This window comes from Homo sapiens, chromosome 1 (genome assembly GCF_000001405.40).
Source record: "Homo sapiens chromosome 1, GRCh38.p14 Primary Assembly".
Lineage (NCBI taxonomy): Eukaryota > Metazoa > Chordata > Mammalia > Primates > Hominidae > Homo > Homo sapiens.
In genome coordinates, this window is record NC_000001.11 from 31,790,236 (window position 1) to 31,817,018 (window position 26,783).

At 49.0% G+C, this 26,783-nt stretch overlaps 1 protein-coding gene across 13 annotated transcripts; it reads right to left on the minus strand.

The window, feature by feature from the left end:
- Window positions 1-186: 186 nt before the first annotated feature.
- On the minus strand, window positions 187-25,787 carry SPOCD1 (SPOC domain containing 1). Of its 13 annotated transcripts, none has more exons than XM_011542413.3 (16): window positions 25,726-25,787; window positions 25,113-25,137; window positions 11,429-11,470; window positions 10,206-10,382; window positions 9,781-9,906; window positions 9,574-9,628; window positions 9,166-9,250; window positions 8,207-8,366; window positions 7,972-8,088; window positions 6,355-6,480; window positions 3,889-4,000; window positions 3,512-3,662; window positions 3,043-3,193; window positions 2,443-2,532; window positions 1,980-2,166; window positions 187-1,017 (listed from the first exon to the last, which is right to left on the minus strand). In XM_011542413.3, exons 4-16 carry the CDS (start codon window positions 10,284-10,286, stop codon window positions 368-370), a joined length of 2,091 nt encoding a protein of 696 aa, XP_011540715.1. In that variant the 5' UTR covers window positions 10,287-10,382; window positions 11,429-11,470; window positions 25,113-25,137; window positions 25,726-25,787; the 3' UTR covers window positions 187-367. The 13 variants fall into 13 exon arrangements, with proteins under 13 accessions (XP_011540715.1, NP_001268916.1, NP_653170.3 ...); NM_001281987.3 differs by having other exon boundaries at window positions 23,716-25,137; NM_144569.7 differs by having other exon boundaries at window positions 187-1,056; window positions 23,716-25,137.
- Window positions 25,788-26,783: the final 996 nt, after the last annotated feature.

The window sequence follows — 26,783 nt, forward strand, 5'->3', positions numbered from 1 at the left end:
ATACTTGCAAAATGCTTCCAGAAACCACCGTGGCAATAGCTGTGCCCTGGGGCGCAGTGATGGTTCAGGACCTCAGACCAGCAATGAGCAAGGCTGCACATTTGTGCACAAGACACTCACTGACACACCCACTCAACCCACATCTGACCAGGACCAGGGGCTCTCCTGACCAGCTAGCAGATGCAATCCCAATTTTACCAAATTCTTTATTGAACAAAAAATCAACAGCAAACATTGTCAAACAGGAAGTTCAAACAGGGCAGGTGGGTAGGGCTGACCATCCTCTCCTTGCAGTCCCACCTCTCTCTGGAACAGGCTTCAACACTAGTGAGGGCATCAAAACCCCTGTTCTGGTGGGTAAGGAGGGTCAGGCCTTTCTAGGGAAGGGACACTCAGAGCCAGCTTCATCTGTAGGCCCCAAAGAGGAGTCACGGGCTGGGCCAGGGGGCTCTGGAGCTGCAAGGGCGCTAGACAAACGCTGCAGAGGGCGGGGGATGGAGCTCTTGGTCTGGGGGCACAGTAAGGCTTGGAGCTGGTGACTCATGGTCGCCAGGGATTCGAGGTGCCGGAGCAGGGCTTGGTGGGGACAGGAGTCCCTGTGGAAGTGCTGGCCACGGCCAAAGCCATGACCAGCTGGTGCTACTGAATAGGGATGCTGGGACTGGCGCAAGCCTGGCTCTGGGGGCCACTGCCCTCGCCCAGGATGCTGCCAGTTTTCAGGCTCTGGCCAGAGCCTCCCCCTGCCTCTGGGGGGCCTCTGCCAAGCAGAGATTCCCCTTGGAGCTATACTGCCCCTGCCCTGGCTCTGCTGCCAGGCACCTCCTGGGGGAGGGGTGCCCTTCAGGGGCACATTCGGCCTCCTGTCATCTGGCTGATAGTATCTCTTCTCCACCTTACTGTTGAAGGAGACCATCTTTTGAACCTTCCCCAACCAGGGGCTGGACCCTGCTGTGTCTGGAAGCCCTTCCTTGGGGAGCAGCACAGCCAGCAACAGACTTGAGTGAGTGACCTCCAGACCTGGGGAAAGGAGAGGGGAGACAGGAAGAGCCCAAAGGCCTGCGGGGAAGAACTGTGTTCAGCTTAGCTGCAGCAGATCTGGAGCCTACATCCCAGGAAGGGCTTCTTCACAGTGAGATGGGGCCCATGAGATGCTGGGAAAAGTAAGTAGGAAGGTGGGGCTGTCTCGGAAGATTTGAGCTCTGCGGGATCAAGGCTTATCTGGCTGAGGCTGGGGTATGGATTGTTTGACCTGAAGACTCTACAGACTCAAAGTCTACCTCATTGTCTCAGGACATGGAGCCCCAAAAGGCCAAGCGCTTTGCTCAGGAGTGGGCAAAGCGCCCACTGCCAACCTCGCTGCTTTCCTGAGCCACGCCGTGGAGGGTGTCCATGCACAGAGGCCGAGCTCGGCCCCCCGTGGCTGTGGCGAAACATCCCTCCCTCCTCTCTGAGGTGACATTTACAGTCAAGTGTGTGTAGGTCCTGACTCTGTCCTGCTGCCTGGGTCAAATGTGGCTGTCCCTGGAGTTTCTCTTCAGGGGTGCCTACCTTGAGAGGCAGTGTGGTGTGGTGGTTAGGGGCCAGGTTTCTGAAGCCATGTTGTGCTTCACACAACGTGTGAACAGAGTGAAGCCCAGTTCTGCTGTTGACTGACTGTGTGACTTTGGACAAGTCATTTGCCTTCTTCCTCCCTCAGATTCTTCTTCTATGAGATGGACAGTCTAGTCTAATAGTACCATTCTCATAGGGTGATGAGACTACAAGAATTCATCTAGGTAAAGCTTTTAGAACAATGGCTGGCATGCAGTTCATGATATCCAAGCGTGAGCTATTACTGTCATTGTACTCACATTTGCCTGGCTGGGTGAGGAGTTCCCTTCTGAGATGTGCCTGCCTCTACTGGGTGACTGTGTCAACCGTGCCTGGTCTGGTCACCAAGTGAGCAGAGGCAGGGTCTGGTATGGGGACTAGGCACTCACCTGGGCCCCCCAAAGGGCGCAGCCTGGTGGGCAGGGGCTGGAAGGCAGGCAGGGGCAGCAGGACCATCCCCATGTGCTCCACAGAGGCCAGCCCGTGGCGCTGCCTATCATTGAGGTATGAGTAGAGCAGGCGGCAGTTCTGGGTGTCCCGGGCCCCATGTGGGCACAGTCTGACCACGCAGACGTCCTGCGGTGGCAGGAGGAGAGCAGCTGTAAGCGCAGTCATCCTCTGCTCCTGCCAACACCCCTGGGCTCCCTGAAACCCCTGAGAACCCCGTGAGAAAGTATGTCTCCATCTTCCAGAGGAGGAAACAGAGGGACCTGTCCAGGGTCACACAGTGAGTCTGCAGTCACTCTGGGAACTAGACCCAGATATCCAAGCCAGGCCTCTGCTCTAGAAGTGGAGAGGGAGGTGGGAGTAAGGTACTAGGAAAAGAGGGGGTGCCCAAGAGTGGGCAGGTACCTTGGCCTTGGCTGGGCAGATGCTGGCCAGAAGGTCCCAGACAATGTTGGAGGGGATGCAGCCTGCCGAGCGGATCACGGTGGGCAGAGCCTAGGGGCAGGAAGGATGGCCAGTCAGCTCCCCAGCTTCCCACCCACTCAGGGTGGACGCATTCCCAGCCACCTGGAAGGCTGCAGCCTGTGGCAAATATGGGCAGGCAGTGTTCCAGGACCCTCAGTGGCTGCCCAGAAAGCTCTAATTGCCCCATGGAGGTCTGCAGCCTGTACTGGCTAATCTACAACTTCTCCAAAGCCCCTCCCTCCCTCCTCTATCCTCTGCTCTCATCCGACACTTTAGCTGATCATTAAGTCACTCAACGATCACTCCTAAAACCCTCCTTTGGGCCCTTCTTGCTATGGGTGACAGGGAGTCCTTCACCCTGTTTGTCTCTGTAGGAATGGGACCAACATCTCATTTGCCCCCATGCCCTGCACAGGGCCAGGCACAGAAAGGGGTGCCCATGAATTGTTTTAGAATGCATGAGTGAAAGAGAGAGAGAGAGAGAGGCTGCCTGGGCTGGTCAGTGTGTAAGGGAATCCCTGGCGAGGAGGGCAGGTGCACCTGGACAAGCCGACAGCTGTGTCCCGAGACCAGCTGGGCCCTGGCCCGGAACCGCTTGATGGAGAACATGTCCAGAACACCTTCCCAGGGTGGCAGGCAGGGCAGGGCCTTTGTGGGTGCAGCAGGCACATGGAGCCCAGATGGAGGGACCCTAGAGGGAGGGACAGAAGACAGGGCCAGACAGAGCAGGCCATGAGGACTTCCCCGGCACCTCCTTTCTTTTCAGAGCAGATCCTGTGTCCCTACTGTGGGGACTGGAACACTGGCCCAAGCTTGGCCTTGTGCAGGGGGCTGCCAGGAGGCTGGGATGATTAGTTCCATTGCACAGATGGGGAAAGTGAGGTTCCCAAGGGAGGGAAGACTTGCCCAAGGCCACACAGGAAAAGCCAGTGCTATGTCTGTTGCACCAGGTGGTGGCCTCCCCCTCAACCCTGCTGGGTTATCCACCTCCCTGCTCCCAACCCCACACCTGTCCTGTGGTTCCGTGGGAGACAACTCCCTGGTTTTGGGCATCTCTGGAGCAGGCATAGGAGTTTGGCTTAGGGCTTTCTGGAAGATATTGTCCCCGCAGCTCTTGGCGGCTTCGAAGGAGCCTAGCAGCTCATTCGAGGGCTCCCAGTCTGCAAATAGCAGAGGCAGGAGCTGAAACAGGGGCAGCAGCAGCGCTGAAGCCAGCCCAGGGCTTTAGAGCCAGGGTTGAACCAGGTTCTTTTCTAGGTGACCTGGGGCACGGGCACCCCTGCTCTGCCACCCTCTCCCCAGGCCACAAATCCCTGTTGCTGCTGAACTGCACGCTCAGCCCCAGCCTGGCTGCCACCCCTGCACCCCTCCCGTGTCCCCTCCCACCCTTGCAGATGTGGCAGTTGGGGTCTAAGAAGTGGTGGTCATGCTGCCCCGTGGTGTCCTCTGATGCGATGGGCAGGGCCTGTGGGCTGCAGTCCATGAACATCTGCGGTCCCTGGGAGGCAGAAGACAGAGGGGCAGGCTGAAAACGTGGCTGGGGGTGCCCGGAGGCCTCCATGGGTAGGGGGCCCCAGGATGTGGTTTATTTTTCTCAATAATAAATGTTGTTTTATTACCAAAATACTGTGAACTCATAAAGAAAATTTGGAAAACACCAAAACTTGAAAATTAAAAAGAAAATCACTTCTTGTCACACCACTCAGAGACCACTGTTGATATCCTGGGTATTCCTTTACAATCTTTTTCTTTTTTTTTCTTTTCTTTTTTTTTTTTTTGTTTGTTTGTTTGTTTTTTGAGACAGAGTCTTGCTCTGTTGCCTGGGCTGGAGTGCAGTGGCTCGATCTCGGCTCACTGCAACCTCCACCTCCCCGGTTCAAGCGATTCTTCTGCCTCAGCCTCCTGAGTAGCTATAGGCGTGTGCCACTATGCCCAGCTAATTTTTGTATTTTTAGTAGAGACGGGGTTTTACTATGTTGGTTGGCCAGGATGGTCTCCATCTCTTGACCTCATGATCCACACGCCTCGGCCTCCCAAAGTGCTGGGATTAAAGGTGTGGGCCACCGTGCCCAGCCCTTTATAATCTTTTTCTATACACAGGGTTTGGGGGTCCTTTTCCTGAAACAGCTGGGATCATATATTCAACTTGGTGTTCTCTTTTTGTTCACTAATAATAGCAGAGGCATTTGTCACATCATATAGTCCCCGTAGACACTGCTGTGATGGGGTGAGACTGGAGTGGACGTCTCACCTCTGTTGCTATACATTTGGGTCATTTCCAGGTTTTCACTATTACTAAATAGCACTGAGGACATTTTTTGTGCAGAAAGTAGTTTCCTAAACTTTAAATTATGTCCTTAGGACAAGATTTCAGAAGCAGATGACAGAATCAGGGAGAAGGAACATTTTAAAGACTCTTGACGTCTATTGCCAAATCACTTTTTTTCCTCATACTAGAAATAGCTTTAAACATAAAACAATCATTGCTTTAGGAAGGTTTAAAGAGATTTTGAAACTCTACTCTTATCAGCCACCTCCAGAACAGTCTCAAAGCACAGGCTTTGGAGTCAGCCAGCCTGGGTTCAAATCTCAGCTTCCCCACTGCACATATGTGACCTTGGTGCCAGGTTCCTCATCCCAGAAATGGGCAGGGAATAGCACCAACCTCCTAGGCCATTGTGAGATGTGAATGAGACACTGCTTGTAAAAGGTGCACACAGTAGGTGTTCAATAAACAGTAAAGATAGCTATCATGTGTTATTTTCCCCTCCCCTCCCCTCCCCTCCCACCTCCTCTCTCTCTTCCTCTCTGGGGCTATCTAGGTCTTTCTCCTACATTGCCATTCAGTTTGTTCAGGGAATACAAACTGATTTAGACTGAGGAGCAGCCACACCCCTTAGGGATCCTCTTGGCACAGGTAGAGGTTCTCCCAGTCGTTGGCCTGAATATTAGTGGTAGGAGTGGGGAGCAGGGATTTCTGTCGTTCACTGTCACTTCCCCAGTGCCTAGAACCGTGCCTGGCACCTGGTAGGTGCCCCATAAATATACTGACTGACTGAATATAGTTAAAGGGACCTGCCCTGCACCCCTCTCCTGAACAGGCAGCTGATGAGACCCAGGTGAACATCTGACCCACAGAACATTCAACTACAGCCAGAGTGGCCTTCTGAGAGTGACCGAAGGAAGCCAAGGGAAAGTTCTAATCAACTGCAGGAGTCTGAGATGATGGCTTCATGGATTCTGGGGCTGCTGAGCCACCATGTCAGGCTATGTGCAAGCCAGGGCCAAGGGAGAGGAAGGAGCAGGATGGACATGAGGATGGAGCAGATCCTCAGCGCCAAGAGCCCTAGACTATTGTCACTCCCGTTGGCTTCCCAGGTCTGAGGACAAGTTCCAGGAGGCCCTCTGGATGGACTGCCAGGGTGCCGGGTGGTTCCCTGCCTGGAGCATCCCTAAACCAATCCACTGAATACAGTGGGTCTTCGTTCCTTCCATCTGAAAAAGTCACTGCCTGGAACAGCGCAGCCTGCTGCTTCCCAGCAGAGATCTGGGCAGAATGCCAGGTTGGGGATGACTATGATGATGGGACTTAATACCACTCATGTGGGGGCCTTGGGGTGAGGCCAAAAGGAGGAGGACCGACAGTGACAAGGCGCTGGCAGGCCTGTGCCAGCAGCACTGTCCCACCCCATGTTCCCCTATGCGTTAAGGATCGCTGTCCCCGTTTTATCACAAACAAGGTGGGCCTCAGAGCAGTCAGGTGACATGCCCAAGACCACACTGCTGGTGAGGCGAGGCGTGGGACCCCCAGGCATGGGCTCTGCCCAGCACCAGGTCAGGCTCCAACTTAACCACCAGATCCTCCAGGGTCAGTGTCTGGTCCATGTCCCGCTGAATCTCCACTTCGCCCTTGTGGGTCATTTTGGAGGCTGGAAGTCTGCACGGCTCCTTCTGTTGCTGCTCAATGATATTCAGGCCCTGAAGAGGTGGAGCAGGCCAAGCTGAGCCCAGTTAGGGGGCCTCTGGCCATCAAAAGCCCAAGTGCTCACTTTCCTCCCTTGAGGCCCCTCTCTTGTGGTTCCCCTCTCCTCAAAACTTTTACTTCCGCCATACCCCTCCTCTGGGAAGCCCTCCACCCTTAGCGCTACCTCTCCGTATTCCACTGATTCACCCTTCAAGTCCTGCCTCCTCCGGGAAGCCTTCCCGGATTTCGCTTTCACTCACAGGTCAATTCAACCTCTGACGGTACCTCATCCTTTTCTGGGAAGGGTGTGGTGTTGCTGAAAGAGTGCAGGCTCTGGAGTTCCCACTGGGCCATTAATAAAGATTCATAAGATGGTATGGCCTGGGGCAAGCACTTAGCTGCTCTAAGCCTCAGTTTATCTGTTCTGTAGGAATTTAATTTAAAGCACTATATTAAACAACATATATAGAGTGCTTAGCCTGGAACATGGCTCATAGTAAATGCTAGTTGTGAGTCTTACTGTCGATCAATGTCACTCTATCTGCAATACTTCCTGAAAACCTGTCTCTCCTTTTCTAACAACCCCTGGAGAACAGGAGGTCTGCTCCTCTCTGGTGGGATCAGCCTCGTGGGCATGAGATCTGTGCAATCGCACAGGGCCCTGCACTTAGGAGGCCCACGCTTGGTTTAGCGCTCTGTTGTTGTCACCTTGAAATTCTTAGCAGTTGTTGAACAAAGGGCCCCACATTTTCATTCTGCACTGGCTCCCACAAATTACAAAGCCAGTCCTGATCCCTGGCCCCCACAGAGCCTGGACAGAAGCTCAGCCTATAGTGGACAGATTCACCTGATGGACTCTTGGTTATTCATTCTAATCAGTTCAGTGTCTTCCAGAGCAGGGGCTGGAGTGCCTCGCCCCATCCCAGTGGCCTCAGCCCCTAAATCAGTCCCTTCTTCTCTCACTGGGCCACCAACAAACATGAGGTGAGCATTCTCCAAAGCCTGCTCAGTGCCACAGCTTCCCTGTCCCAGAGCAGTTCCCAGGCAGGGAGAGACCCATGGATACAGGGTATATGGGGACACAGCTGTGAACCCAGGGGCTATGGGGCCCCTCCCCCAACCTGGGGTACCAGGAAGACCTCCAGGCTTTTCCAGGGCATCTGAAGCTGGGATCGGAAAAGAGGTACCTCAGGACTCCGGACTCTAGGTCTCACCACAGTCCTCTCCCAAGCCCCCCACCCCACAGTCCAGCTCAACTGAAAACCAAGTGTGTCACATCTCTACCAAGCTCTCCATTCCCAGTCCCTTTCATTTCCACCCCTTCTCCTGTTTCTCTTGTGGGGAGGGTCTCTCTGACTCCCTATCTGCCTTCTCTGTTTCCTTGTTTCTGTCTTTCTGAATTCCTCCTCCCTCCCTCCCTGTCTCTGTCTCTCCCTCTTCCACTCTCAGGCCACCCACTCTGCCCCTACATCCCCTCACCCATCCCGACTGGGCTCAGCACTCACCCTTTTCTCCTCCTGGTCCCGCCAGCGGGCCAGCTCCTGGGGGGCCAGCTGCATCGAGCTCATCCGCACCAGGTCGTAGGGGGTGACATCTCCATGAACCACTTTGAGAAACAAGTCCTGGTGGGGGCAGGGGGCAGGGCTGCACCACACGCTGAAAGAGCTCCCCCACCCTAGCATCCTGCAGGGGCTCTGAGATTCAGAGAGGGGACGCAGCCCAGCCCAAAGCCCTGCTCACCAGGTTCCTGGGGTCCCGCAGGTTGAACAGCAGGCTGCGATACTTGGTCTTGTACCGGCCATTGGTGCCTTGTGTCAGGTCCCAGAGGGCTGCCTCAATGCCAGCAGCAATGCCCTCCACCACCTCCTCACTCAGCACTGGGTCTGGGAGCTCCCGAAGGCTGTGGAGGCCAGGGCAGGGCGGGGGCACTGAGCCCAGGAGGCTCTCCAGGCACTTAGTCCCAGAGGGAGGCAGCTGGGTGGGCGGCAGGGTCTGGGCCAACTTGTTCCTGTCGTGGGTGTTTCCCTGCAGGAACCTACTTATTCTCACCCCAACTCCGTGAGGAGGAAATAGGATCATTCTCCTTTTATGGATGGGGTTACTGGGGCTCAGGGAAAATAAGAGGCTTACTCACAACTGTGTAATTAGTGGCAAAAGCAAGATTTGAAACTCGACTGTCTGACTCACCAGCCTGTGCCCCGTCTCTGGCTCACGGGATGTGTGGAGGGGAGGAAGCCGGGGTCAGGTCAGAGTAAGGCAGGAGTCAGGGGGAGAGAATGGAGCCCTGGCCCTCGGTGTCATCTGTCATTGACTTGCTGTGTGGCCTTTGCAAAGTCCAACCCTCTCTGAGCCTTGGTCTCCCCATCAGCAAATGACAGCTCTGGGCTCAGATCTCTGAGCCGCTCCCAGCACACACTCTACGTGAAAGCATTTGCTGCGGGTGACATTGATGTGGATGGACCTGAGCCGAGGCTGAGAGCTGCAGCAGCTAAGTGGGGAAGCACAGCCTTAAAGCCAGAGAGACCCAGCTTCAAATTTCAGCTCTCCACTGGCTCTTGGTATGGGCAAGGGACCTGGCACAGCTACCAAATGGGGTTAGCCAGACACCCAGAAGCCCTTAGAACATGGCAGGGCCCCGGAGGCGGGGGCATGTGAGGGCGGCCCTTGGGATGTCAGGGGAGTGGGGAGCAAGGCCTCACCGAGTCCATAGTACCTCCTGCATGGAACGGACAACAGTGCCCCGCACCCCAATATACAGGGATGGCTTCTCCTGTTGGAGCTGAGCTGTAGGGAGAGAGCGTCACAGGCTCCCAGGGGTGCCCAGGGGAAAGGGGAGGGGGCTGACTCAAGGCTGATGGGTTTAGGCAGACAGGAGAGGGGTCCCACCCTCAAAGACCTAGACCCCTCCCTCTATCCATCTGGGAGCCAAGCCCAGGCAGCCAGTGGCCCCCACCCCTTCCCCCACCCCTTTGGGGAGGAGCTATAGGCTGATGGGATGTGGGGAGAGAAGAATCATAGCAGGGGCTGGGCCCAGGAGCTGGGCCTGAGTCCTCCCCAGACCCCAGCAGTCTCTGGAAGCAGAAGAGGCTCCCTCCAGGGCCCTTCACCTGAGTCCTCTGGCTGCTCCGGAAGAGAATCCTCTTCAGCCTCCATTGGGCCACTCTGTAGGGGAGGCGTGAGGAATTGAGGCTGTGCTGGTGGGCCTGGCTTCCAGCCCAGGGGACACTGCTTCCTCTAGTCACCTCCCCACTCCCACGTCCTCCCTGACCCATGCTCCAGTGAAGGAGGCACATGGCCGGGGCAGAACAACTTGCCTGGGAACATGCAGGGTCCGAGCTGGGGTCGCCAAGGGCCAGGGAACCGCTTCTTGGAGGGTAGAAGGGGTCAGAGAGGCCACCAGGGTCCCCTGCTGTGCCTCCTGAAGGAGAAGGCTGGAAAACCTTGGGGCAGGGAGCAGACAAGCTATTGGCCGGAAATGGAGGCCAGGGACTGTTCCCTCCCCAGATGTACTGGAGGCCCAGCCCCTCCCTCCTCCAGTCCACCCTGAATTCAGAGCTGCAGAAAGTAGTACACATGGAGCCCAGGCCAGCCATGCAGGCTGGGGCCGAACCCTGCCTCTGGCTATTCTGAATGACCGCGAGCAAGTGGCACCCTCTCTCTGAGCCTCAGTGACATCTCTGTGAATCAGGTGTGAAGGTGCCTCTCTCAGCAGGATTAAATGACATCACTTGTTCTGTACCTGGCACCCAGCAGGGCCCTGCACCATGGGCCTTTTCTTCCTTCTGAGCCTCTGGGCAGGTGAGGGTGAGCTGACCTCCATCAAGTCCTCTAGAACCTCCAGCTTTGGTGGCAGCTGCCCCCCTGCCTGGCCGTGGCTGATGGCCCCCAGGAGCTGGATCACTGGCCCGGAACCCAGCTGCGGGGGAGATCGCACTTCAGAAGCAAGCGGGGCCAGCCGCTGTCCCCGCCTTCAGAGTGCTCGCCTCATCTGTAATTGTTGAACATCTCTCTCCCACTGGAGTGTAAGCTCCGTGAGGATAGAGAACATGCCTGTCCTGGTCCCCGCTGTATTTGCAATGCTTGGAAAAGGCCTGGCACATAGTGTTCAGTGAAAGTTTGCTACCTGGCTAGCCTCTGTCCCAGGAGAGGGGCCTGTCTCCATCCGCATCCTTTCTCAACTTCCCCCTTAACCCCCAGTCACATTCATAGTTAACTGAACTCTGTGCCAGGACCCTCTCACTCTTCTTCTGACCACAGATGCATCTCATCAGGAGGGACATACCTTGTTCTGACTCCCCCTCCTCCTGCTCAAAGCTCTGTCATGCCCCTTTCAGGGGTCACTGACTTGTTGTCTGCCTCTCCCTTGAAGCAGCCAAATGCAGGCATCTGTAAGGCTTACACTCTGTAAGGCTGCTGATCACTCCCCTATTGCCCATAAAAGAAATCCCTTCATGACCATTTCAAGGTGCAAAGTAGATTTTGTTCTTCTAATGAACTACGGAATCTGTCCCGCTCGGCTTTTTGCTATGGCTGCCAGGAAGCTCAGTGTTAACTTTGAGCCTGGCAGGTGTACCTTTCCAGGATTGGTAGAGAGCAAGGTGTTGTTGTAACAAGATCCCCCACCTCCTTCCTCTTTTCTTGCTTTCTTTAGGCTTTTAGCCCATTTTAAGTGTGTTTCAATTCTTTTCATTTATTGCAAACCACAGGGAATTGTTTTAAAAGTAGGTGAGTCTGAAAACTAATCCTTGAATGAATGATCATGAAATGGTCAGGTTCCAAGGTCTGCAGGAAACTAAAAGTCTAAGATCCAACATTATAGAGGGAGGGGAGCACTAGGATCCACTGGGGGAGGGCAGGCTGGGTGGGGGTAGGATCTCCACATCTACTGTGGAGGAGCCCTCCCACTCCACCCCACCTGAGGCAAGGGAGAAAGAAAAGCAATAATAAAATGTAAAAACCTACGTAGCACACAAGCTTCACTCCATGGGGTATTTTCACTTCCTCCTTGGAGAGAAAGAGGATGCAGAGATTAGAATCCAGAGGACCCAGCCACCCCATGGCAGGGAATTCACAAAAAGAAGACAATCTTGTTGAAAGGGTGTGTGTTCAGTGTTCACTGAGTTGTACTTACAGCAAAAAGTTGTCCATCAAAGGGGAAATGGTTAATAAAAAATATGTCCATCAGGCCAGGTGCAGTGGCTCACGCATGTAATCCCAGCACTTTGGGAGGCTGAGGCGGGTGGATCACCTGAGATCAGGAGTTCGAGACCAGCCTGGCCAACCTGGTGAAACCCCGTCTCTACTAAAAATACAAAAATTAGCTGAGCATGGTGGCGGGTGCCTGTAATCCCAGCTACTCGGGAGGCTGAGGCAGGAGAATAACTTGAACCCAGGAGGCGGAGGTTGCAGTGAGCCAGGATCGTGCCACTGCACTCCAACCTGGGTGACAGAGTGAGACTCCATCTCAAAAAAAAGGCCCATCAAAGGGAAATGGTTAATAAATGGTGACACTTCATACTACGAATTCTATGTGGCTTATAAAGGGTAAGGAAGTCATCATAAAAATTACCACTTGTTGAGGGTTTATGAAGTAGCTGGCCCCACAGAAGCACATCATTCATGCTATTAAGGTCTCAGAATGACACCATGAGGTATATACTATTTCTATCCCCATTTTACAGATGAGGAAACTGAGGCTCCAAGAGGATCTGAAAAGTCCTATAGCTGCTAAGCTGCAGAGCTAGTATTAGAACCTAGCTCTGTCTGACTCCAAAGCCCAAGCACTTAGCTGCGGGGCTATGTGGAGACATGGAAAGATTCATGGAAAGATGTCAAGAAGTATTATTGGGAGAAAAAGAAAAAATAGGTTACAGAACAATATCTGTTGCATAAGCCCATTTATGTAAATATATATTTACAGATACATAATAGAGGTTATCTCTGGGGAATGAAATTCCAGGGAGACTTTCACTTTCTACTTGTAGGAACTTGGGTATTCATGTTATTCAAAACGAGCGTGTATTTCTTTTACAACCGGAAACATGTTTTTTTATTAAAAACAAGTTCAGAACAATACGTGTGGTGTGCTACCATTCGCGTTACAGACAGAACGAATTTTAAAATTTGTATTTGCTGGAATACACATAAAATATCACAGGAAGTATCTGCAAGAACCTATCTAACCCAGGCTGCCAGTAGGGAAGCAACTGGGTGCCGGGAAAGATGAGTTTCACTTTTTTTGTTTTTTTGAACCATGGAAATGAATCAGCCTTTCAAAAAAGTAAACTGAGAAAGAGGCAGAAAAAAAAAAAACAAAGAAAACAGGGGTGTGGGAAGAATATCAAGACCAGCCCTTCACAGTTCAAAGCCTTTTGGCTGGCCCGTCTCAGGGGTCCTAACGTCCATGTTATGAGGCTCCAAAACAACAGGCAGGAGAATGAGATGAGCGAAGCCTTTCAACACTGGACTATCAGACCAGAATACAAACTATGTATGTATAATATGTTTAAAGAAATAAAAGAAGGAGACGAACACATGAGTGAAGGACAAAAAAACTACAAAAAACAACCGGGCAGATTTGATCGGGAACCAAACACGACTTCTGGGAATGAAAAATATAACGATCTTAATTAAAATTTAAAAACTCAATATATAGATTTAATAGCATATTAGATGCAGCTGAAACAAATTAGCTAACTGGACAACACATTTAAATAAATTAAATGTGTTGCACTTTGTGAACACTGTGAAGCACTAAGAGACACATCACGCCTGTAATCTCAGCACTTTGGGAGGCCGAGACAGGAGGATCGCTTGAGGCCAGAAGTTTGAGAGCAGCCTGGGAAACATAGCGAGACCCTGTCTCTACAAAAACAAGAAAAAAAAAAAAAATAGCCAGGCATGGTGGTGTGTACCTGTAGTCCCAACTACTCAGGAGGCTGAGGCGGCAGAATTGTTTGAGCCGGAGAAGTCAAGGCTGCAGTGAGCTATGATCACACCACTGTACTCTAGCCTGGGTGACACAGCAAGACACTGTCTCAAAATAAAGGAAAGGAAAGGAGAGGAGAAGAAAAGAAAGGAGAAGAAAGGAAAGGAAAGGGAAAGGAAAGGAAAGGAGAAGAAGGAGGAGGAGGAGGGAAAGAAAGAAGAAAGAAAGGTAGGAAGAAAGAAGGAAGGAAGGAAGAAAGGAAGGAAGGAAGGGTGAAAATGATTAATCTAAAGTTCCAGAAGGAGAGAGGAAAGAGAATGGGTAGAAGCAGTGTTTAAAGAAATAGGGCTAAGAATTTTTCAAAATTGATAAAAGACAAAAATTTACAGATTCAAAAAGCTCAGTGAATCTCAAACAGAATAAATAAAAGGAAATTCATACCTAGACACATCAACACTCATGATAAGGAGATCCTTACACGCATAAAGAGAAAAAATAATAGCTAACACTTGACTAGCACTTAAAATGTGCTACATCTGTGGCAAGTGCTTTACATATTAGTTAATTTAATCCTCACCATAATCTTATGAGGTACTGGTACTGTTATCTCCCCCATTTTACAAAAGAGGAAACTAAGGCACATAGAGGCACAGGGAGGTTAATCAGCTTGCCCAATGTCACACAGCTAGAAAACCAAAGAGCTGGGATTTAAATCCAGACAGTCTGATTCCAGAGGCCATAACTTCAACTACTATTCTATGATCCCATTCACCAAAATACCTTTCATCTATAAAGGAATGGCAATTAGACTAACAGCTACTTTCTCAATAGTAATAATGAAAAGCAAAACATAAAAAAATAATATTTTCAATGTGCTTAAAGAAAATAACTATCAATTGTGGACCCAGACAAAATACTTTTCAAGAATAAGGAAGAAATAAAGATACTGTAGAGAAAAATCAAGAGAGCTGTTATTTTTCTTGATAATTTTGCTTTGCTCAATAAACAAAATGCTAAAAGATAAACCTGAGGCAGAAGGAAGGAAAAACAATCCCAGATAGATAAGATGAAAGGAAGAATTTTGAGCAAAGAAAATGATGAAGATGTTGTTAAATCTAAATAAACATTGATTGTATGAAACTATAATAACAGTGTGTAATTTGGGGATTTTTTAAAAAAAAAGATAGGACTAATTTACTGGATAACAACAACACACAAATTGGAAAGGTACGCGCTTGGAATTAGAGCATTCCAAGATCCCTATATCATTTTGGAGTAAGACAAAGATTGTAACTACCTTTATACTTTGATAAGTTAGTTATTTGTGCTCAAATTTCTTTTTTCTTTCTTTCTTTCTTTTTTTTTTTTTTGAGATGGAGTCTCGCTCTGTCACCGAGGCTGGAATGCAGTGGCATGATCTTGGCTCACTGCAACCTCCACTTCCCGGGTTCAAGCGATTCTCCTGCCTAGGCTTTCTGAGTAGCTGGGACTACAGGCGCCCGCCACCACACCCGGCTATTTTTTTCTTGTATTTTTAGTAGAGACAGGGTTTCACCGTGTTAGCCAGGATGGTCTCCATCTCCTGACCCTGTGATCCACTGGCCCCGGCCTCCCAAAGTGCTGGGATCACAGGTGTGAGCCCCGAGCCCGGCCTGTGCTCAAATTTCTAAGAGAACCACCAAAAAAATATAAACTGAGGATAGGAAACATCTAAACTACTAGAGGGATAAAAAGGAGTAAGAAAAAATAATCCAAAAGGAGGCAATGAAAGGGAGAAAGTGCTGAAATGCAAAACATACGCAAAGCACAAAACAGGCCGGGTGCAGTGGCTCACACCTGTAATCCCAGCACCTTGGGAAGCTGAGGTGTGAGGATTGCTTGAGCTCAGGAATTCGAGACCAGCCTGGCCAACACAGCCAGACCCTGGCCCTACCAAAATTTTTTTTTAAAGAGCCAGGCACAGTGGCATGCACCCGTAGTCCCAGCTACTTGGGAGGCTGAGGTGGGAGAATTGTGAGCCCGGGAGATCAAAGCTGCAGTGAGCTATGATCACGCCACTGCAGTCTAGCCTGGGCAACAGAGTGAGACTGTGTCTCAAAAAAAAGCACAGAATAAAATGGTAGGAGTAGATGTAAATAAATCAGTAACTATAACAAATGTAAATGTACTAATACTTCAGAAAAATACAAAAATTATCAGACCTTTAAGGAAAGAAAATACAGTTATAAAGTCTTTATGAGACCCATTTCTAAAACATAATTATGCAAAAAGGTTAAAATAACAAAATGGAATAATATACGAACAGGCAAATAACCAACCAAAATAAAGCTTTGTAGCTATATTAATAATCAGATAAAACAGATTTTAAGGCAAAAAATCATTAGAGGGCAAAGACTGACTACATAATGATATGTAGTTTTACCAGGAAGCTATAACAACTCTAAACTTATAAGCATCTAATAGCATAAGCTCAAAAACTATAAAGCAAAAAAAAAACTACAAGCAAAAAGACAAATCCACCATGAGAGCAAGAAAATTTCATATATCTCTCTAACTATTGATAAATAAAGCTGACAAAATAATCAGTAGGAATAAAAAATAATTAATGAAATCAACAAGCTTCATCTGTACATATATATAAATATATACGGAATATTAATCCTAATAACTAGAGAATACATATTATTTTCCAGTATACATGCAACATATATAAAAATTGAGCAAAGCCTGGGCCAAAAAGCAAATATCAACAAATTTCAAAAGACTTTTTTAGATCAGCACTGCCCAACAGAAACATAAGCCACATGTGTACTTTTAAATATGGTAGCCACATTTTAAAAAGTGAAATTAATTTTGTAGTTTCTTTAATTCATCATATCCAATATATTATCATTTCAACATGCAATCGATATGAAAACTTTTTTTTTTTTTTTGAGACGGAGTCTCACACTGTTGCCCAGGGTTGGAGTGCAGTGGTGCGATCTCGGCTCACTGCAGTCTCCGCCCCCGAGGTTCAAGCGATTCTCCTGCCTCAGCCTCCTGAGTGGCTTGGATTACAGGTGCCCACCACCACGCCTGGCTAATTTTGTTTGTTTGTTTGTTTTCAGTAGATACAGGGTTTCACTATGTTGGCCAGGCTGGTCTCAAACTCCTGACCTCATTATCCGCCCGCCTAGGCCTCCTAAAGTGCTGGGATTACAGGCGTGAGGAACCGCGCCCAGCCATGAACAACTATTAATGAAATGTTTACTTTTTTTTGTACTGAGTCTTTGAAATTCAGTGTATATTTTACACTTACAGTACATCTCAATTTGGACTAACCAAATTTCAAGTGTTCAATAGACACAAGCGGCCAGTGGCTATCAGACTGGATAACTCAGATAAAGACCAACTTCTCAGACCACAATATCATTAAGTTAGAAGGCAATAAAGACAAAAGCAACAAAATATGTTTGGAAATTAAGAAATACACTCTTAGCCAGGCGTGGTGGCTCACGCCTGTAATCCCAGCACTTTGGGAGGTCAGGCGGGTTGATCACCTCAGGTCAAGAATTTGAGACCAGCCTGGCCAACATGGCAAAACTCCATCTCCGTGCTAAAAATACAAAAATTAGCCAGACGTGGTGGCACACGCCTGTGATCTCAGCTACTTGGGAGGCTGAGGCATGGGAATTGCTTGAAGCTGGGAGGTGGAGGCTGCAGTAAGCCAAGATAGCACCACTGCACTCCAGCCTGGGGGATAGAGCCAGACTCTGTCTCAAAAGGGGAGGGGAGGGGAGGGGAGGGAGGGGGAGGGAAGAGAAGGGGAGGGAAGGGACTTTTAAATAACAGATAGGTCAAAGAAAAATTGTAATTAAAAATGATAAAATATTGAGATTGAATGATAAGACTGTATGTTAAGTCTATGAATGCAGCAAAAGCGATAATTAAAAGGTTCTTTTATAGCTTTAAATGACTTTATTAGAAAGGAAAAAAGGCAGAAAACTAATGAACTAAGCATAATTTTTAAGACTTTATAAATAGTAGCATAAACTGAACGGAAGGTGACATTGACAACAAACATATAGTGGAGAGGATGAACAAACCAAAAATCGGTTCTTTGAAAAAACTGACAATTGTCTGACAAGATTGATTAAGGAAAAGAGAGGAGGTATAACTAGCTAAAATTTGGAATGTATAATTACAAGTGCGCAGTCCTTAAAGATAAGAGGCTATTGTGAAATACTGTATGCCAACATGCCAATAAATTTGAAAACTCAGATGAAACAAATAGATATCTAGAAAAGTATAACTTACCAAAATTGATTCAAGAGAAAAACAACACTGAATAAACCTATAGCCACAAGATAAATTGAATCAGTAGGGAAGGAAACACCTTCCCTAAAGAGAACATCAGTCCATACTTTTTTTAACCAGCCATTCTATCAAAATGTCCAAAGAACAAATAATTCCAATCTTAAATACATTATCCCAGAAAATAGAAAACAAAAAGATAATCCACAATTCATTCTATGAAGCTAGCAAAACCCTGATACCAAAATCTCACAAGGGTATTATAGAACAAATCATTTCAGGCCAGTTAATTCATCCATTGAAAACCCGAAACAAAACATGAAATTGAATTCACAAAATACGAAAAAGATATAGCATTACCAAATTGGGTTTGTTCCAGCAAGGCAAGAACTTAACATTTTAAAAAACTTAATATTTAAAAAAAAAAACACTAACTCCTTAAATTAACGTTAATAAATTCGAAGATAAAAATCATACTATTATCTCAGAAATGGAAAAAACACATGTGATTAAATGCACTGTGCAATAATAATAATTATAATAATTGTAAATATTGTAATTGTAATAATTATAATAATAATTATAAATAATTAGCAAACCAGGAAGAGAAGGGAGTTTCCTTTACCTGATAAAGGGCATCTATATAAATAACATAGCAAGTGTCATACTTAAGGTGAAACGATGACCACATTTCCTTTAAAATCCAGAATAAGTCACGGGTTCCTTGCTATCACCATTTCTATGCAACACTATACTAACAGTCTTAGCTAGTACAGTAAGGAAAGGGAAGGGAAGAGAGATGTAAAGAACTGGAAAGGAAATAACAAAAACTGTCATTTGTCTACATAGAAAACAAACAAAATCCAAATAGATAAATTATATAGATTAATAAAAGCAAGATTTCTGGATGCAAAATCAATAAACAAAACTCAATTGTGTTTTTACATGGGAGAAAGTGTAGAAATGCAAAACATATGCAAAGCACAAAACAGGCCAGGCCTGGTGGCTCATGCCTGCAATCCCAGCATTTTGGGAGGCCGAGGATCACCTGAGGTCAGGAGTTCAAGACCAGCCTGACCAATATGGTGAAACTCCGTCTCTACTAAAAATACACAAATTACCCGGGCATGGTGGCGGGTACCTGTAATCCCAGTTACTTGGGAGGCTGAGGCAGGAGAATCGCTTGAACCTGGGAGGGGGAGGTTGCAGTGAGCTGAGATCATGCCACTGTACTCCAGCCAAAAAACTTTTTAAAGAAAAGACTTAATAAGAATAACCAAAATGCATGAAAAGATGCTCCTTAGTAAGAGGGCAGTGGAAATTAAAACAACATTGAGACACCACAGCATATCTCCATTTCAGCAAAAAACCTAAGTCTGCTACCATCAAGGGCTGGTGAAGATGTGAAGTCACCAGAATATTCATACACTGCTGATGGGGGTGTATACTATTTCAACCACTTTAGAAAACATCTGGCACCATTTAAGTTGAAGATGTGTCCACTCTATAACCTGGCAATTCCACCCCAGAAAATATTCCCTGGAGATACCCCATATGTACCAAAAACCATACAAAACTATCACAGCAGCACTATATGTAGTAGCCAAAAAAAAAAACACCAAAAAACCCAAATGTCCACATGGAGTCAACAAATAAATAAATTGGGGCATATTCATGCAATGGGGATACTTGGTGCCAACACTTAGGAACTGTGTGATCTTGGGAAAGTTACTTAATCTCTCTGTGCCTCAGTTTTCTCATCAGTAGCATGAAGATAATACCAGTATCTACCTCATGGTGTTGGGGCAACGATCATTATCACTATTCGAGACTCTTAGAACAGTGCCTGGAACAGAAGAAGCTCTCTCTGTAAATGCCTGTGTTGATAAAGTTCCTTGGTCCCTGCCCTGGAGAAAGGCCATCCTGACACTCGACCACCCTGCAGGCTCTCCATTTCCATTCAAGCTGGCCTCTCCCACCTGGCTCCCGTTCCACCTGTAACCCCCACCCTCTACTCCTGCAACACTCCAAGCTGCCTCTTGCAATGCAGCTCTGCAGAGCACTGCCCTCTTCCTAGCAAGCCTCTCCTACTTTCTCACCTGCTGAACACCTACTTCCCTTGCCTAGACCCAGTTTAGACAGCCCCCTCCTCTGCCCTCCCCTCCCCTCTGGACATCCACAGTCCACTGGGCTTCAGTCTGTATTTCAATTCTCTGGTTAGTGGTTTTCTCCTCCCACTAGACTGTAAGATCCCTGGACGAGCCCCCTCCTTGTTCAACAAATTATAATAAAGCCCCGTGAACAGTCAAGTTATGCAGGACTGGAGTCAAACCCTGGCTCGGCCACTTACTCGCGATGTGGCCTGAGTGAGTCACTTAACTTCTCGGAAGCCCAGTTTTCTTACTTAGTAAAATGGGGATATTAGTGTTGAATTTTTTTTTTTTTTTTTGAGACAGGGTCTCACTCTGTTGCCCAGGCTGGAAGGCAGGGGCACCAGCACAGCTTACTATAGCCTTGACCTCCTGGAATCAGGTGATCCTCTCACCTCAGCCTCCTGGGTAGCTGGAACTACAGGCACAAGCCACCATGCCCAGCTAATCTTTGTATTTTTTCTACAGACAGGGTTTTGCCACATTGCCCAGGCTGGTCTCCTGAGCTCAAGCAATCCACCCGCCTTGGCCTCCCAAAGTGCTGGGATTACAGGTGTGAGCCACCACGCCTGGCCGACATTGACCTTTAATGGTTAATGTAAGGATTAAATGAGATGACATACTTGAAGCTCTCAGTCTATAGTAGGCACACTAATGAAACGAGCTCCTCTTAGGCTGCTCTTCTGTTAGGAAGACACTCTCCTCCTTCACTCACCTCTTGACACTTTGCAGCTACAGACAGCATACCTTGAACCAGGGATTCTGGGTCAGGCCAGAGGAGCTGTGTGCCTCCCTGGTTATGACTGGTGGAATGTGAGCAGCCCAGGGTCACTGGCAGAGTTGCCCCACACACACACACCCACTGCTATCCCACCCATAGAGCAGCTCCAAACCTCACTGGCCACTGTGGGGCCCAGGACGGACAAGAGAATGGCATCCAGTCCCCCTCCCATCTCTCCTCCAAGAGTCTCTGGTTCATGCCAGAAGAATACAACACGGCCAGCCTCTGATATCAGACTCCTGGCAGTTCTGGGGCCCACTTCATTCTCCCCACTTCATAGAGGAGGCAACTCAGATTCAGAGAAGAGACATTTCTAAATGTCTAAAGTCTTTCTGCAGCCAGGCGCAGTGGCTCATGCCTGTAATCCCAGCACTTTGGAAGGCCGACGCAGCGGATCACCTGAGGTCAGGAGTTTGAGACCAGCTTGGCCAACATAGTGAAATCCTGCCTCTACTAAAAACACAAAAATTAGCCGGGCATGGTGGCCCACACCTGTAGTCCCAGCTACTCAGGAGAATCCCTTGAAACCAGGAGGCAAAGGTTGTGGTGAGTCAAGATTGTGCTACTGCACTCCAGCCTGGGTGACAGGGCGAGACTCCCATCTTAAAAAAAAAGTAAATTAAAAAAAAAAAAGTCTTCTTGCCACTGAGCTTAAGAAAGGAAGAAAAAAAAGTTAAACTCATCTAAATGTCTGAAGACATGTCTAAAGTCACCCTGTACTAAGAGGCAGAGCTTGACCTTGAACCTGTCTGCCCCTGCCACAAGCCAGGCTGTCTCCAGGGGAAGGTGCTAAGGCCCTAAACGGGGCTCCAGACCAGCCGGGCACTGTGCCCCCCATTGCCCAGGCCCCACTCAGCCCTGTCTGCAACCACCCGCCTGTCCCTGTCACAGCCCAGACTCAATTCTTCTCCCGCAGCTGGTACTGGTTGTCATGGCAACGAGTTGTTTGGAAAGCTGTGGGATGATGGGCTGTGCCGCAGTCAAGGATGGAGCCTGGAGGAGCCAGCAGTCATGGGCTGCTTCCAGTCAAGCCAGGCAGGAAGCTGGCTCCACCACCGCACTCAAACCAGCCCCCTTAAAGGCTGCAGACCCAGGAATCCCAATTCTGGGCATCTGGTCCAAATAAATCATGTGAAGAAGGGAGGAGCCAGACGCACAAGGATGGTCACCCCTGCACTACTTACAGCAGGACGAAATTGCTTATGTCACTAACAGGTAACCTATTTGAGTATTTTTCTTGCACCAAGCACTGTGTTAAATGCCAAACATGTGTCATCTCATTTCATCCTCACCACCTCCCTAGGAGGTAAGCACTCTTCATACCCACATTTTGCAGATGAGAGAATTACACTTGAAAAGGTGAAGCCACTCACCTCGGTTGTTCAGATAGTGGCAAAGTCAAGATTGAATGTTAGCCTATTGGCCTCCAGGGCTCATGCTCCTCACTACACTACAGTGGTTGGAAATGAGAAGAGGAAGTCCCAGCCCTCATCCCGACAGCGCCTGTGCCTGCGACAAATACATCCATAGACAGCTATGATGCAGGGCTCAGGAAAAGATCAAATTCGGCAGAACAAGGTGAACCCACTGGGAAAGACCTTCAAATACTACGGAACTTACAAAACCAAGCAAAGTCCTGGAACAATAAGGCATAATAGGAGCCTATTTATAGGTAAAAAGGCTTGATGCATAGTGGAAAACAGCTCACTGGTTCTATTTTACTAATTGGCTGTTTGGCCTTGAGTACTCATGTCACCTCTCAGAGCCTCAGTGTTCAGATCAGTGAAATGGGTATATGTCAATAGAGTCTACCTCATAGGCTTGTTACAAAGATTGCAGATAAAGTGCTTAGCCCAATATCCAGCACATGTTAAGCAAGCCAGATGCTGTTACGACTGTGCCGATAACACAGAAAATACACAGAGAAGGCAGTGCAGTGAGCTCTCAAGACAGACCGCCTAGGCTTGTAGCCTTGCTCCCATTCACCAGCTGGGTCTGTAACCTCACCTCCGTGGACGTCGTGTGAAGATTAAATCAAAAACATCTAGCACATCATGCATATTCAATAAATGTGATGAAAATCCAACTATGTGAGAAATATACACCAAAAACAAGTAGAGTCTTCTTCTGCCTTTGGTGTATAAATGTTAGCTATGATTATTAATAAAATGATGATGATTATAAGTAAAAGAACAAAGGAAAGGGAAGTGGTGATATAGGGAACATGGCTGGTCACTGACTCCCCAGCTATGTGAGCCTGGAGAATATTATTAACCCTCCGAGCCTCAGTTTCCCCATCTGGTTATATGGGGCTAACGCCTATCTTACAGGGTAACTGTGAACACTAAAGGAAAAGCAAATTTAACACGAATTAAGCAATTTACCTTGTGCCTTGTGCTGTGCTAGGCACCTTTTTTTTGTTTGTTTGTTTGTTTTAGACAGTCTTGCTCTGTCACCAGGCTGGAGTACAGTGGTGCGATCTCAGCTCACTGCAACCTCTGCTTCCCAGGTTCAAGTGATTCTCCTGCCTCAGCCTCCAGAGTAGCTGGAACAGGCATGTGCCACCATGCCCAGCTAATTTTTGTATTTTTAGTAGAGACAGGGTTTCACCATGTTGGCCAGGATGGTCTTGATCTCTTGACCTCGTGATCCGCCTGCCTCTGCCTCCCAAAGTGCTGGGATTACAGGCGTGAGCCACTGCACCAGGCCTAGGCACATTATTTTATACCATAATCTCATTTAATCCTTGAAACAACCCCATGAAGCTGCAATTAGTATCCTTTTTTTACAATGAGGAAACCTAGAGAGGTTAAGAAAACATCCCACAGTCATTCAGCTAGGAAGTGGGCAGAGGCAAAATTCGAACCCAGGACTCACTGACTCCAAAAGATAATGACCCCTCACAAGGATTCAGCGAATGTAGTTTATTTTCTCTTTCCCAGTTTGTGGGCCTCATTTTACCCAGTTTAGTTAATAGGGATGTGAGAATGTTCATGAAGCGCCCATCTAGCTTAGCTTTATTAAATTCCACTGCCAAGTATGGTATTGAGAAACATGGCCAGGCCCTTCCTATCCCAAACTCTCAGACTCAGCTCACCAGTCTGGGGCAGCCTCCTGGGCTGGGTTCCTCTGGCCTGTCCTGGTGGGAGTTGTCTGAGCTTCTGTCTGTGCCCCGGTCTTGGGCACAGGGCACTGGACCTTTCTTCAGGTTCTTAGTGCCCTTGGATCTTCTCTGCTCCATGAATGGGCCTGAGCAGGCCCTGCTGGCTTCAGTATCCAGGGAGGAGCTGAGGCCGCCCAAGGGCTCCCGGGAGCTGGCACAGGTGTCAGCGGGGGCAGCGAGTCCTTGCTCCAGCCTTCCCCTGGAAGCTGGCTGAGCCTTGGCCTCCAGCTCCTCCTGGTCCTGTGCTGGAGCCTGGCCTTCATCGCTGCCAGTCCGCACGACACACACAGCTTCTTGCTGCTCTGCAGAGGCCTGTGCTGACGCCCCCAGGCACAGTGCTGCGCTCTGTGGAGGAGCCTGTGCAGCTGAACTGAGGGACTCCCCTCCACTGGGCACTGGGAACCCGACAGGGCCACAGGGGCTGCCTGGCTGGGGCCCATCCCCTGTAGCGGGCAAATATCCAAATTTCTCAGTCCCTGAGGCACATCCTGCCCCACTTCCACCTGGCTCTCCAGGCCCAGACCCAGTGTCTTTTGGAGAGGGAGGTCTGCAAGGGCCTCCCAAGGACTCCAGGTCAGCAACTTGGGGAGGGTCTCCCACAGACAGGAGGTTGTCCCCACGAGGGCTCTGATCAAGCCACAGGAAGTCACCAGCCCCTTCCTCACACTCTGAATGAGCCCCTTGCCTCCTCCATTTCTTTCTTACCCTCACAGGGACTGGGTCTGGTGAGGATGTCAGGGGCCTTCCAGGGGGCTCCTCTTTGCTGAGTGTGGGGCTTCTTCTGTCACACCCTGGAGAACTCATTCCACCGTCTCTGGCCTCCCTGGGCCTGAGGCAGCTCACCTCCTCCACTCCTGCAAGCCTCTCCCTGCAGGCCAGAGCTCTCTCTGGGAGGCCAGCAGACCTGCTACAAAGTTTCCTGGGGCAACTGTCATCTAAGATGTCACACAGAGAAACCTGGAGCCTCTTGGAGGTCAGAGCTCTCCCCTGAGTAGGCACCGAGGGCAGCTGCATGTGGAGCCCAGGAGCCAGCATCGAGCCCCGGCTCTGTACCACAGCTAGCAGCTCCAAGACCCCTGGCCGGACCTCAGCAGCACCTGCAGCCCGGGAGCTGCCACCTCGAAGGGCCTCCTTCCTGGGGATCTTCCTTCTGCTGCCAGCCCTGACTCCGGGCCCAGAGCTTGCTCCCGGCCCATCTGGTGACAGGCCTGGCATGGAGCTGGCTCCTTCCATGTTCTGTAAAAGCTCACAGTTGTGTTGGGGACTGAGCACAGGGTCTCCTGTGCTGGGGCCTTCTACGTCCCCCGCCTGGGACATGTCTGTCCACCTACCTGGGCCAAAAGCACAACACGGGCCCTGTGTGGAGACAGAAAGAGGAGACTTTGTCTTGGAGAGTCCGACCTGTCAGCCCGTTCAGTGGGAACTGGGAGGAGCCCCTCTTCCAGCCAGCTCTCCCAGACCCTTCCACTCCTGAGGCCTAGGGGTGAGCACTCCAGGGAGGGGAGCACCCAGCAGGAGCTGGTGTCCTGGGTGAGGGTGGAGAGGCCTGCCTCCAAACAGGGCCGAGCTACAGTGGCCTCCAGGGTCTTCTTGTCTCTGAGAGTTCACACATTCGCTTAAATGGGACCTAATAAGATACCATTTATTTATGACTTATGTGCTTATTTCATTTCATACTGGCAGCCACAGGTGAGGACACTGAGATTCTGAGATGTTAAGACACTCACCCAAGGAAGCACAGGAAGTGGAAGGGCCAGGAGTCTCTCTCCCAGTTCTCACACTGCGCAAGGAGCAGATACTGAACGGGGTTCGTGCCCATAACCCTTCTCGTCTCTCTCCCATCGGTCCCGTTCTGAAAGGCGCCCCACCCAGGTTCCCAAGCCTTACTGGGACAGTCCCCCAGCATCCAAGAAATCCGGGCCCCATCGGTCGCGTCGCTCTCACCTGGGCTTCCCTGAGTTTTCCCTCCTGGGGTTCCACCCACTAGCTGAAAAGGAGCTGAGATCACGTGATGCGGGGGAGGGAGGCCCTTGCTGAGGGATAGGGGCGGAGTCCCTGATGATGAGCAAAAGGCTGCTCCCCAGGCGTGCTGGCGTTCCTGCCCCGGCAGAGGGCGCCCTCTTCCTCCTGAGGGCTTCCTGGAGGAGGTGCCAATCCTGGCTCCCAAGCAGAGGTAGGTGGGTGCATGGGGCAGCGAGGGGCCTTGGCTGCCTGCCTGAGAGTTTAACTTGATCCTACCGCAATAGTCCCTGAGCCAGTAGGACAATGTCAGAATTACCTAGATTTTTTGCCTAATTTTATTTTATTTTATTTTTAAACTTTTATTTTAGGGTCAGAGGTCCATATGCAGGTTTTTAATATAGGTAAACTTGTGTCACGGGGGTTGTTGTACAGATTATTTCGTCACCCAGTTATCAAGCCTAGTACCCAATATTTATTTTTTCTTATCTTCTACTGCCTCCTACCCTCCACCCTCAAGCAGGCCCCAGTGTCTGTTGTTAACCTCTTTCTGTCCATGTGTTCTCACCATTTAGCTCCCACTTATAAGTGAGAACATGCAATATTTGGTTTTTCCGTTCCTGCATTAGTTTGCTAAGGATAATGGCCTCCAGCTCCATCCACGTTCCTGCAAAGGACGTGATCTCATTCTTTTTTATGGCTGCATAGTATTCCATTGTGTATATGTACCACATTTTCTTTAGCCAATCTGCCATTGATGGGCATTTAGGTTGATTCCATGTCTTTGCTATTGTGAATAGTGCTTGCCTAATTTAAAAAGAAAATCTCAAATATAATTAATGTAGATGGAAATGCAGAATCAATTCCAATAGAAGGTTAGAAATAAAAAGTTTAAAGCTATCTCTCATTTCCCAATACCCCAACTCCTGGAAACAACTGTGTTTTGTTTTTTGTTTTTTACCATGTTTGTCATCATGTTAATTTTTTAAATTTCATAACTGTAAATAATATACTCATGCCTCTATTACTTGATTTATTAATTT

Excerpts from the sequence above, each read along its gene's own strand:
- SPOCD1 (NM_144569.7), bottom strand. The coding sequence starts at position 25,098 with ATGTCCCAGGCGGGGGACGTAGAAGGCCCCAGCACAGGAGACCCTGTG. Across the intron at positions 6,481-7,971 it reads GGGACCAGGAGGAGAAAAGG|GGCCTGAATATCATTGAGCA; the intron begins GTGAGTGCTGAG and ends CCACCTCTTCAG. Across the intron at positions 2,533-3,042 it reads ACAGCTGTCGGCTTGTCCAG|GCTCTGCCCACCGTGATCCG; the intron begins GTGCACCTGCCC and ends TCCTGCCCCTAG.